The sequence below is a fragment of the Homo sapiens genome, chromosome 5 (genome assembly GCF_000001405.40).
Source record: "Homo sapiens chromosome 5, GRCh38.p14 Primary Assembly".
Lineage (NCBI taxonomy): Eukaryota > Metazoa > Chordata > Mammalia > Primates > Hominidae > Homo > Homo sapiens.
In genome coordinates this window covers 118,933,040-118,945,353 of record NC_000005.10, presented here as the reverse complement: position 1 = coordinate 118,945,353, position 12,314 = coordinate 118,933,040, and the positions used below count along the sequence as shown (strand labels likewise).

Here is a 12,314-nt window from a genome sequence, read left to right as displayed (position 1 = left end):
CTGTAGGCTGGAGGACAGAGATAGGAGGTATAGCCTTTAATTCTAATTGAACTTTATATTGTGTGTAAGAGTTACCTAAACAGTAGTAAAGCACTAAAATGTAAGTAAAATAAAAATGACAAGCAGTAAGAAAAGGTAAGTTAAATGGAAAAGGCAAATACTCTTCTAGTATAATTCTAGCCAAATATAATTTGGTGGCGTCTATTTGAGTTTCTTCTCACAATTGGTAAGTTCTCTGTATTGATTGATGGCTAAGTTTGATTAGTGTTTTTCTCTAGTTGGTAATTATATTCTAGTATTTTATCATCTTATTGTTTACTCAACTTAAAGTGACACAGAAGAGTTGCCAGGTTTCTCTTTGATATGAGATCTCTTTTTGATTTGGAATGCAAATCAGAAGTGTCATGTTTTGAATAAAGGGACCAGATGACTTATAGGTATTCTTTCTCTAAATATAACTAAGGTAAGATTTTTGTTTTGAGGTACTTAATCTATATAAGTGGTAAAGAATTTACTTGAATTTCTCCAAATTCTCATGTCTAAAGTCTGATTGATTAAATTCATTCTTGGTATTTCATTTTGAAAAGAATGTAGCTTTAGCAAACCTCTTTGTATAAATGCAGTGGGATTAAGGTCATTTAAAAAATTGTTATATCATTGTATTTTTAAAATTTACCAGTTTTATTTTTCTTTTTACCCTTTAGCCGGCCTCAGAAAGTGTGTTTGTGTCCATTTCTCCCAGCGCACCCTCTGCATATCTCTACCCACTTGTACATAATTCAGCATCCAGCAGAGGTAAGATTTTGTAAAATACAGGATTTCAAATAGAATATGAGTCCACAAGAGGAAACACGAAGATAAACATACTTATCCTTACCAGCTCTTTAGCATTTCTGAAAAGAAGTTGGTGATAAATGCTTTCTCTTTTGGAAAAAATAGTTTCTTTTTAATTTCAACTGATAGTATAGAGTCTTATGCTCTAGAGAGAGATACCATTTCACAAAATCTATGTTATTGAATAGTATAGAAATTTAAAACTCCCAACAATTTTGTATGAAGAAAAAATGAGGTTTTGTGAATAAAGAGCTAAGAAAATCATTGCTTTTTAAATTTTGGTCATAGCTTATGTTTCTTGATGCTTGATGTCTTTTCTTGCTCCAGTAGAAGTAACTTTGGCATTTTACTCTTACAAAGTGAATGTATAAATAAATTTTTGGTTTATTTTAGATGAATAGAAGAAACATGTATATTTTATAATGCATGTTATATGTAAAGATTTTAAAATTAATACTTTCTTGTGCAGGTAAAATACATATGTGCCAGTGTGTATATGTGTTTGTAACTCTTGATTAGCTGCATAATGAAGAGGGGAGGAAGTTATAATTAATACAAAGCTACTCAATGCATACTATGAAATTATTTGCTGTAAAATGCAGTTAAAACTCTTTCAGTATTTAGGAACTGAGGACATCATAGACGCAGTCAAGCTTTCTAAGAAGGAATAATTATTTTTTAAATTTCTCAAGTCTGGATCACTTGAAGACTTTAACAGAGGTATAAAAGAAATTAATCTTTTCTTTCTTTCAAATGATGAAACACTTATTTATTTATTTTTTGAGACAGAGTCTCCCTCTGTCACCCAGGCTGGAGTACAGTGGTACAATCTCAGCTCACTGCAATCTCTGCCTCCCGGGTACAAACAATTCTCATGCCTCAGCCTTGAAACATTTTTTCTTTTATTGCAAATTGTTAACTACTCCATTTGGTGGACAACCTTTTTCTCAGCCTTTTTTTTTTTTTTTTGAGACGGAGTCTTGCTCTGTTGCCCAAGCAGGAGTGCAGTGGCGCGATCTCAGCTCACTGCAAGCTCCACCTTCCAGGTTCATGCCATTCTCCTGCCTCGGCCTCCCGAGTAGCTGGGACTACAGGCGCCCACCACAACGCCCGGCTAACTTTTTGTATTTTTAGTAGAGACGGGGTTTCACCGTGTTAGCCAGGATGGTCTCGATCTCCTGATCTCATGATCCACCTGCCTCAGTCTCCCAAAGTGCTGGGATTACAGGCGTGAGCCACCGCACCTGGCCTAACCTTTTTCTCAGTCTTAGCAGCATCATGCTTTTGTCAGGATTATGACAATTTGGTCACTAGCAGTATTTTACTTCAATTAAACTTAAAACATTGTACAGCTCAAATTTATGTAAACTGATAGCTTGCCGGCCACAGCAATTTTGGTTAAAACCTGACTTTTGAGGCTGGGAGCGGTGGCTTATGCTTATAATTCCAGCACTTTGGGAGGCTGAAGAAGGAGGATAACTTGAGCCCACAAGTTTGAGACCAGCCTGGGCAACATAGCGAGACCCCATCTCTATAAACAAATAAAAAAATTAGCCAAGTGTGGTGGTGTATGCCTATAGGCCTAGCTACTTGGGAGGCTGAGGTGGGAGGATCCCTTCTGTACAGGAGTTTTAGGCTGCAATGAGCTATGATTGTGACATTGCACTCTAGCTTGGGCTGTACAGCAAGACCCTATCTTAAAAAAAAAACAACCCACACCACTTGACATTTGATGGCAAATACTGTGTTCATTTTGCAGTATACACAGTATGGTGCCTTTTCATTATTGTGTGGTTCCAGATATAAGATAGCTTTTTTAGTGTGGGTGTTTTCATTGATTTGTGGCAATATTAATGTTTTCTTTCTATTTTTTGTAGAGATAGGGTCTCACTATGTTGCCCAGGCTGGTCTTGAATTCCTGGCCTCGAGTGATCCTCCTGCCTCAGCCTCCCACAGTGCTAGGATTACGGGCGTGAGCCATCATGCTTGGCCTTTTTTTTTTAATGTTTTCAAATACCTTATTTTTAATTTATTTTTGACCATTATTAATCCATGGTTTAGATGATTCATTCATCACTGTGTGTGCTACAGATGTGTTTTATGCATGTAGAAATGCATCCATACAGTTTTTCCTTCTCAGCAAAGGAATTTTCTATTATTATTATTTTCTGTTTTTAAGAACGGGGTCTCGCTATATTGCCCAGGCAGGTCTCAAACCCATGGCTCAAGTTATCCTCCAACCTCTGCCTCCCTAAGAGCTGGGACTATAGGCGTGAACCACTGTGTCCAGCCATTCTTAGCAAAGGAATTTTCCAGTTTTCATCTAACTTATTAATACTGGGCTGCCTGTGCTTAACTTCAGCACACCATTTCCAATAAAAGGATTTGCTAGCCTACAGAATGAGAGAAAATTTTTGCAATCTACTCATCTGAAAAAGGGCTAATATCCAGAATCTACAAAGAACTCAAACAAATTTACAAGAAAAAAACAAAGAACCCCATCAAAAAGTGGACAAAGGATATGAACAGACACTTCTCAAAAGAAGACATTTATGCAGCCAACAGACACATGAAAAAATGCTCTTCATCACTGGCCATCAGAGAAATGCAAATCAAAACCACAATGAGATATCATCTCACACCAGTTAGAATGGCGATCATTAAAAAGTCAGGAAACAACAGGTGCTGGAGAGGATGTGGAGAAATAGGAACACTTTTACACTGTTGATGGGACTGTAAACTAGTTCAACCATTGTGGAAGTCTGTGTGGCGATTCCTCAGGGATCTAGAACTAGAAATACCATTTGACCCAGCCATCCCATTACTGGGTGTATACCCAAAGGAATATAAATCATGCTGCTATAAAGACACATGCACACGTATGTTTATTGCAGCACTACTCACAATAGCAAAGACTTGGAACCAACCTAAATGTCCAACAATGATAGACTGGATTAAGAAAATGTGGCACATATACACCATGGAATACTATGCAGCCATAAAAAATGATGAGTTCATGTCCTTTGTAGGACATGGATGAAGCTGGAAACCATCATTCTTAGCAAACTATATCACAAGGACAAGAAAACCAAACACTGCATGTTCTCACTCATAGGTGGGAATTGAACAATGAGAACACTTGGACACAGGAAGGGGAACATCACACACCGGGGCCTGTTGTAGGGTGAGGGGTGTGGGGAGGGATAGCATTAGGAGATAGACCTAATGTAAATGACGAGTTAATGGGTGCAGCACACCAACATGGCACATGTATACATATGTAACAAATCTGCACATTGTGCACATGTACCCTAGAACTTACAGTATAATAAAAATATATATATAATAAAAAGAAAAAAGGATTTGCTAGTTTTTGACTCTCCCATAGAAAAGTTATTAACCATTTAGATAGGCTCTAGGAGGGGGCTTTGGGAAAAGAAGACTTGGTGGAGTAGATGATATGGAGGTGATATGATGGAGCATTTCAAAGAGTAGGTATACATACATGTAAAATTACCTAAGGGTAAAAATAGAAAAGCTATCTCAAAAATAACAGAAAGCTTTACAAGAAAATAATCTTATGTTAAAGGACTTGGCCTTTGTGAACAATGTGTATTTAGTCGTGAAGATGCAAACACTGTTTATTGACTTAACTAATAATATTAGATGTGAGAGGAAGGAGTGGTATTAGAAAGCTAAATCCTCATTTGTTATGAGAGGCAGTACTTAAGGGCTGTGGAGCTAGACTGCCTGAGTTCAAATTCTTAATAGTTCTATAAACTCTGAAACTTTGAGCAAGTTAATTAACATCTCTGTGTTTCAGTTTCCTCATTAGTAAAATGGATATGACAAAAGATATATTTCTCTCTCTCTTTGTATTGTACTTAGAATTGTGTGCCTTAATATTAGCTGTTATGATGATGATAATTGGTAGTTTTTGGATAATATCTAAAATCGATAAATCAAGAAATAGAAAAACAACATATATTGTATGGTTATATGGAGATAACTACCAGAAGAAATAGCCAAAAGAGTTAAAGTGATTGCCTCCAGGATGTGGTACTGGGGAGTACATCTGGGAACAACTGTGGCATTTTAAATCTTATGGCACTATTTAATTTGACATATATACATGTATTACTTTGATAAAGGTTTAGAAACTGATTAAGTTTGTGTCACAGTCTCATGGTGATGGTAAAGAGAGAAGAACATTGTATTAAACATTGGAAAATGTCCTAAAACCACCTAAGGCGGAGTAACTAATCACTTGGCTCTATGGGATTCAAGGTAGAATTCTCGTGGCAACAAGAAAGATGGTTTCCAGTGATGGAAGCTAGGACATTGAAGAAACCACTGACGACAGTCAACTTAATGGCTTTTTCAGAAATGGCCACCAGATTTCTCCACTCTAAAGTTATTATTTTTGTTCTCTTTCCATACTCTATATTCTTTGGAAGCAAGGCCATAAATCCAGCCCACACTCAAGTGGGAGGAAGAGATTAAGTTCCACCTTCAGGAGGGGGGAGTATTTACATTTATTATTTGGAATTCTTTTGTAAGGAAGATTTGTTTCTTCTCCCCCATTTATTTATTAAGTCATTTATTTATATCATTCTGGACTCTAATTTGTACTTTGGGTTATAACCCAGTACTGTGTTATTTATTTTCTTGCTCAGATTGTTCAATTTTAGCCATTGGGAGCTCTTTAAGATTGGCTTCTGTGTCCCTTTGACATACCCCATTGTTTTGTTTTCTTTTTTAAAAAAATTTTTAATTTAAGTAAAGAGGCTATGCTGGGAAGAACCGATTGTTTTGTTTTCTGAGCACTTCCTTGCTTTTTTGGGCATAAAGATCTAGGCAATTATCTTCAAGCTGGCATAGTGCAAAATGTAATTACTTGTGAAATGAAAAACTTGTCAGAGTAAATGATTCAATTTAGTTAAACACAAATTTACATTTTAATAATCTTAATCATTATATATATTAATGTAATCTTCTTTGATCAGTAAACCTGTAAAACATACCCAAATAGAATAAAAATGTATGCTTGTGTTATGGTTAATACTGATAAATCAGAGAAATTTTACCTCTTTTTATTAAACTGTGGTCTTTAGTAAAAGACTTGTGAAAGTTATGCATAAAGTTATGAATCAGATGTTCATTATAAAATATTTAAAAGTGTGTATATCTAAGTAAAAATCTATGTTTCAATTCATTTTTTAATTAAAGGAAAACAAAGTGTTGCGTACAGTTCCTCTACTAGCAGCATGCCTCCCCCAGGACAAGTGTAAAGTGAAGATCGGTCGTCGCTTCAGTGAAGAAAGGTAAATTAACTGTTAGGGCAATGTAAATAATTCTTTTCTACACAGATCTTAAAAAATGGTTTCTTTCAGCTTATTTCTTTCAGCTTATTCATGGTCTAAAGAGTGGAAATTAGTCAAAAAATTTAGGTTCTGCTAACCCCTGACCACACAAAATAATACAAGACAAAACAAAACAAAACAAAATCAGAAATAAAAAAATAAATAATGTATAAGCAAAGGAATGATAGCATTATCTGAATTTCATAGTAATGTATGTTTAACTTAAAAGGCAAATATACTTAGTGTTTATATCATTTTTGTTAAAAGTGCCTTTCAGTTGGTAGATGGTAGGGTTCTTTTTTTTTTTTTTTCTTAAATATCTTCCACAACTTTTTTTTTTTTTTTTTTGGTAGGGTTCTTGTATTAGATTTAGTTCAGTTTTTTTTCCCCTATGGTGCCTAATATAGTGCTTACTCAGTAAATTGTTATTATTATTATTTTTTGAGGCAGGATCTCACTTTGTTGCCCAGTCTGGAGTGCAGTGGTGCAATTTTGGCTCACTGCAGCCTCCACCTCCTGGGCTCAAGTGATTCTCCCACCTCAGCTTCCTGAGCAGCTGGGACTACAGGCATGAGCCACTGGGCCTGGCCAGTAAATTATTATTTGCTGATGAATTTTAAATTAAAGCAAATTAGAACTATTAATATAAATGTGGTAATTGAATGATTAATTTAGGCTTTTGTTAGAGTACATGATGAAATCATCGGGGAATGATTAAGAGACATACTGCTTTTGGTGTCCTTTGTAAATTTTTGCCTCTAGTATATAAGAAAACAATTGGTTTTTATATATTAACCCCATATCCAGTAACTTTCTAAATTCGTCTGTTAGTTGTAGAAATTGTTTTGTAGATTCCCTGGAACTTTCTATGTAAGCAGCATTGTCATCTGCAAATGAGATCATTTATATTTCTTCCTTTCTGATACTTATCCTTTTTTTTTCCTTGCCGCATTGCAATAACTGATACCTTTAGTATAATGTTTATTGGAAGTGGTGAAAGCCAACATCTTTACCTTGGTCCCAAACTCTGTGGACGTTATTAACTATGATATCGGCTGTATGTTTCTCCCCACCAAGCATTATTGAGGTATAATTGATAGATAAAAGTTATATTTATCATGTACAGTGTGATGTTTTGATGTATGTATACATTGTGAAATGATTAGCACAATCAAGCTAATTAAATTTATCACCTCACATAGTTAAGATTTGTTCAAAACGTTCAGTAATATTGAGAATACTATAGTATGGCTGTGTCAGGAGAGACATAATGAGGAAGTGAAGCCAAAATGCATGAAAGGAAAGAAGTTTATTACACACAGATACCAGAGAGGTTAGGATGCCAGTGTGAGGCCAAAGGGAAGTCTGGAAACAACAGGGGATTCAACCGCTGGGTGGGTGGGAAGGGGAGACCTGTGGGATTATGCCTTTATTAAGGTCTGTGGGGATTATCCCTTGGGATTTCCCTGTGGGTTGTAGACTGGCTAGTTTAAAGAGAACAATGTGAAGGGGGAGCTTATTCATATGACTCTGGTATTGACCTTTAGGTTTTATTGTGGTCAGCAGCTATGTGATGTGTTGGGTTTTGGATTAGTGAGGAACAAGTAGGCTATATGGCAAACACCACACAGGGAGGGAAAGTTTTAACTAGGCCAAAGGTGATAGGGTTGGCTGGATTACAGATAACTTACGTCAGGCCTAAAATGGATGCCAAGGCAACAACTGTATTAAACAGATTTATAACAATAGTTTTATGGTTTTTTTTTTTTTTTTGCAGTGATAACATATAAGAGCTGCCTTCATGGCTGTTTTCAAGTATACAATACATTAACTGTAATAACCATGTTATACAATGTCATTTATCAGTTTCTAAAATGATGAGAGTTTTAATTATGAATGGGTGTTTGTTGAGTTTTGTGAAATGCATCTATTAAAATGATCATGTAGATTCTCTCCTTAATTCTGTTAATATAGTGTATTATATTGATTGATTTCTGCATGTTAAAACCCTTCTATTTCTAAGATAAAGCCCACCTGGTCATATTATAATTTGTGGGAAGGTTTTTTTCTTACAAATATAATTCATTTATTAAACATAAGGCATTTCATATTTTCCATTTATTTTTGTGTCAGTTTTTATATTTTGTACCTTTCAAAGAAATGGTACAAGTTATCTAAATTGTTGAATTTATTGTCATAAAGTTGCTTGTAGCATTTATTTATTGTTATTTTCATGTCTGTAGAATCTGTAGTGGTAACCTCTTTTAATTCCTGATTTAGGTAATTTGTGTCTTTTCTTTTTTCTTAGTCTGTTTTGGTCGATCTCTTTAAAGAATCAAGATTTGGCTTTGTGTTTTTCTTTGTTTGGTTTTCTAATTGATTTCTACTCTTTATTGTCAATTTTTTTCTTGCTTTGGATTTAATTTCTCTTTTTTCTTTTTTTAGTAGAAGATTAGATAACAGATTTTAAAACTTTTTGTTCATTCATATAAGCATAAATTTAAAAAAAAAATAAATTGAGATGGGGTCTTGCTATGTTGACTGGCCTCGTCTCAAACTCCTGGCCTCAAGTGATCCTCTCATCTTGGCCTTCCAAAGTGCTAGGATTACAGATGTGAGCTACTGTGCCTGGCCCGTGCATATAAACATTTCAGCTGTAAATCTATAAATTTTTCCTTTTTTTTTTTAGACAGGGTCTTGTTTTCCAGGCTTGAAGTACAGTGGCACACACATAGCTCACTGTAGCCTTGAACTCTTGGGCTCAATTAAAAGTTTTCTTTTGTAGAGACAGGGTCTCGCTATGTTGCCCAGGCTGGTCTTGAACTCCTGGCCTCAAAGTATCTTACCCCCTTTGGCCTCCCAAAGTGCTGGGATTACAAGTGAGAGCCACGATTCCTGGCCAAGTTTCTCTTCTTAACCATTGCTTTATATATCCCACCAATTCTGTTATATTGTGATTTTGGTTTGTTCAGTTCAAAATATTTTAAAATTACTTTTGTGATTTCTTCTTTCACACATGGATTGTTCAGGAGTGTGTCGCTTAATTTCCAGATATTTGGGGAAGTTTTAGATGTATCATGATTATGTTTATTTTGATTTCTACTCTTATTTGTTTATACTCTGTGATTTTAGGTTTAAAAATTTTATTGATACTTGTTTTGTGTTCTGGCATGTGATCTGTCTTTTGGTAAATATTCTATATGCACAAGAAAAGACTATATTCCTCAGTTGTCAGATGTAGTGTTACACAAACTATCAATTAGGTCAAGATGGTTGATAGTGTTATTCAAATCTTCTGTATTTTGACTGATTTTATGAGCATGTTTTCTCTCAAATATCAAGGAAATTGTGTTAAAATCTCCAGCTATGATTAGGGATTTGTTTATTTTTACATTTTGTTCTTTTGGTTCCTGTTTTATCTATTTGAAAACTCTTCAAGTAGGTGAATATGTATTTCGTATTATTATGTTAACTTGATGCACTAGTCCTTTTATCATTATTATGTGTTGTTGGAAAAACTCTCAACCATTTTTCCTCTGCTGTGGTGTCAACACCACAAACTTCAACACAGAAAACTTCCGAGACCCCCAAATATGTGAGGATTTCTCCCCACAAGCAAGCGAGCGAGCAAGCAAGCAAGCAAGCAAGCAGTCAATTTTGCAATAATACTAGTTGGGTGTCTTCCAGTTCAATTCTGACCCTGCCTACGTGGGGATAGTGTCACATCCCACAGGATGAGGGCTCAGTTCCCAAGACTGCCCCTTCCCCGCTTCAGACACCATTGGCAAGTCCGGGCCTCAGGAACTTCTGACTGATCAGCTTCAAGTTGGGGCTTCCACAACTCTTGGTTTGGGTTCAGTTAGTTAGAAACACTTAATGTTTACCAGTTTATGATAAAGGATATTACAAAGGGTACAGGTGAGATACGTAATGCAAGGTACAGAGAAAGGGCTGCAGAGCTTCCATGCCTTCCCTGGTGCACTACCCTCCAGGAATGGCCACATGTTCAGCTCTCTGAACCCTGTCTGCTTGGGTTTTTATTTAGGCTTCATCATTCAGGCATGATTGATTAAGCCATTGGCCACTGGTGATCAACTTGACCTTTAGCCTCTCTCCTTCCCCTTAGTCTTTCCAGTGACTAATCCCACCCTGGAGCTGTCAGTCAATATTAGCATACAAAAAAACAACACTTTGAAGATTCTAAGGATTTTAGGAGTTGTATTCCAGGAAACGGAAAGAAGACCAAATATATATTTCACAATATCACAAATGTCTTTCTTTATCTCTGGTAATACTCTTTGTCTTAAAGTCTACTATGTGTGGGTGCTAGTGTTTATATGGTATGGGTCTTGGTTTTTAAATTTAATCTAACAATCTCTGTTGTTTAATTGGGGAGTTTATTTCATTTTCCTGGATGTAGTTATTGACTTGTTTTCTTTTACATTACCAGTGAATACCATAGTGATATTTGTCTTCTATTAGTCCTATCAGTTATTTGATCTTTTGTTCCTCTTTTATGTCTTTCTTCTGGGTTACTAAGTTTTTCTTAGCGTTCCATTCTATTTCTTTGCTGGCTTTTTAGGTATGCCTTTTGTGGTTAGTCTTTGGATTATACTATGTATTCTTACTTTATCACTGTTTACCTTGAATTAATAACATTATACATTAAATATATAACATAAGAACCTTATAAAAATATAATTCCATGCAATCTCCTTCTATTTTTTGTGTTATTGTTTTCATGTATTTTACTTTTAGATAATAAGGGAAACTGGGTGTGGTGTATATAGGAATTCTCTGTACTATTTTTGCAATAATTCTGTAAATCTAAAGCAGTTATTTAGATATTCTTTGCTTTTTTTTTTTTTTTTTTTTTTTTTTTTTAATGGAGACAAGGTCTCACTATGTTGCCCAGGCCAGTCTTAAACTCCTAGGCTAAAGGGATCCACCTGCTTTGGCCTCCCAAAGTGCTGGGATTACAGATGTGAGCCACTGTGCCCAGTCCTTTTTGCTTTTTATCAGTGTTTTTTAGTGTTTCACATACAGGTACTTTACGTATTTTAATAGATTCACACCTAAGAATTTCATTTTTGCAGGGCTATTTTAATGGTATTTAAAACAATTACAAATGTGAATTTTTTGTTGCTAGTATGTGGGAAAGCAATTGACTTTTGTATATTAACCTTATATCTTGTGACCTTGCTGTACTTATTTACTTGTTCTTGGAGGTTATTTTTATTTATTTATTTATTTATTTATTTATTTATTTATTTATTTAGGTCAGTTCCCTGGACTTTTCTACATAGATGATTAGGTCTTCTGAGGAGTATATATGGTTTTGTTTCATCTTTCTAGTTTGTATATCTTTGGTTCCCTTTTCTTATTTCAATAGCTAGGGATTGAATAGCAGTGGTGAGAGGACATCCTTGTTTTGTTCTCAGTCTTAGAGAACAATTACGTATAATGCTAGCTATAGGTATTTTGGAAATGTTCTTTACTAAACTGAGGACATTCTCCCCTATTCCTAGTTTGTGGAGAGTTTTTATCATGAGTGGGCTTTGGGTTTTGTCAAATGCGTTTTCTTTGTGAATTGATACAGTCCTTTGATGTTTCTTCTTTAGTCCATTGATGTGGGTGATTACATTTATTGATTTTGAATGTTAAACCAACCTTCCATCCCTGTAATAAATCTGGTTTGTGATGATAGATAACTTTTTGGATTTAATTTGCTGATATTTTGTTGAGAATTTTTGCCTTTATATTCATAAGGGATATTGATCTATAGTTTTCCTTTCTTGTAATGCCTTTATTTGGTTTTGATATGAGGGTAATGCTGGCCTTATAGAATGAATTAGGCAATGTTCTGTCTGTTTTTAGGATCTGGAAGAGATTGTGGAGAATTGATACCATTTCTTCCTGAAATGTTTGAGAGAATTCACTGCTGAAACCACCTGGGCCTGGTGATTTCTTTTTTAGAAGATTATTAATTATCGATTCAATTTCTTTAATAGACATAGAGCTTTTCAGTTTTCGTATTTCTCCTTGTGTGAGTTTTGATAGTTTGTTTTTCAAGGAATTAGTTAATTTCCTCCTAACTATGAAATTTGTGGGCATTGA

General features: G+C 35.1%; 1 protein-coding gene across 4 annotated transcripts in view; it reads left to right on the top strand.

The window, feature by feature from the left end:
* DTWD2 (DTW motif tRNA-uridine aminocarboxypropyltransferase 2) overlaps positions 1-12,314 on the top strand; it is a 152,474-nt gene that overhangs the window by 43,194 nt on the left and 96,966 nt on the right. For all 4 annotated transcript variants that reach the window (NM_173666.4, XM_011543338.4, NM_001308081.2 and 1 more), the window contains exons 2-3: positions 705-795; positions 6,064-6,158. In NM_173666.4, coding sequence (NP_775937.1) covers positions 705-795; positions 6,064-6,158 — 186 coding nt within the window. The remainder of the gene's footprint in view (positions 1-704; positions 796-6,063; positions 6,159-12,314) is intronic.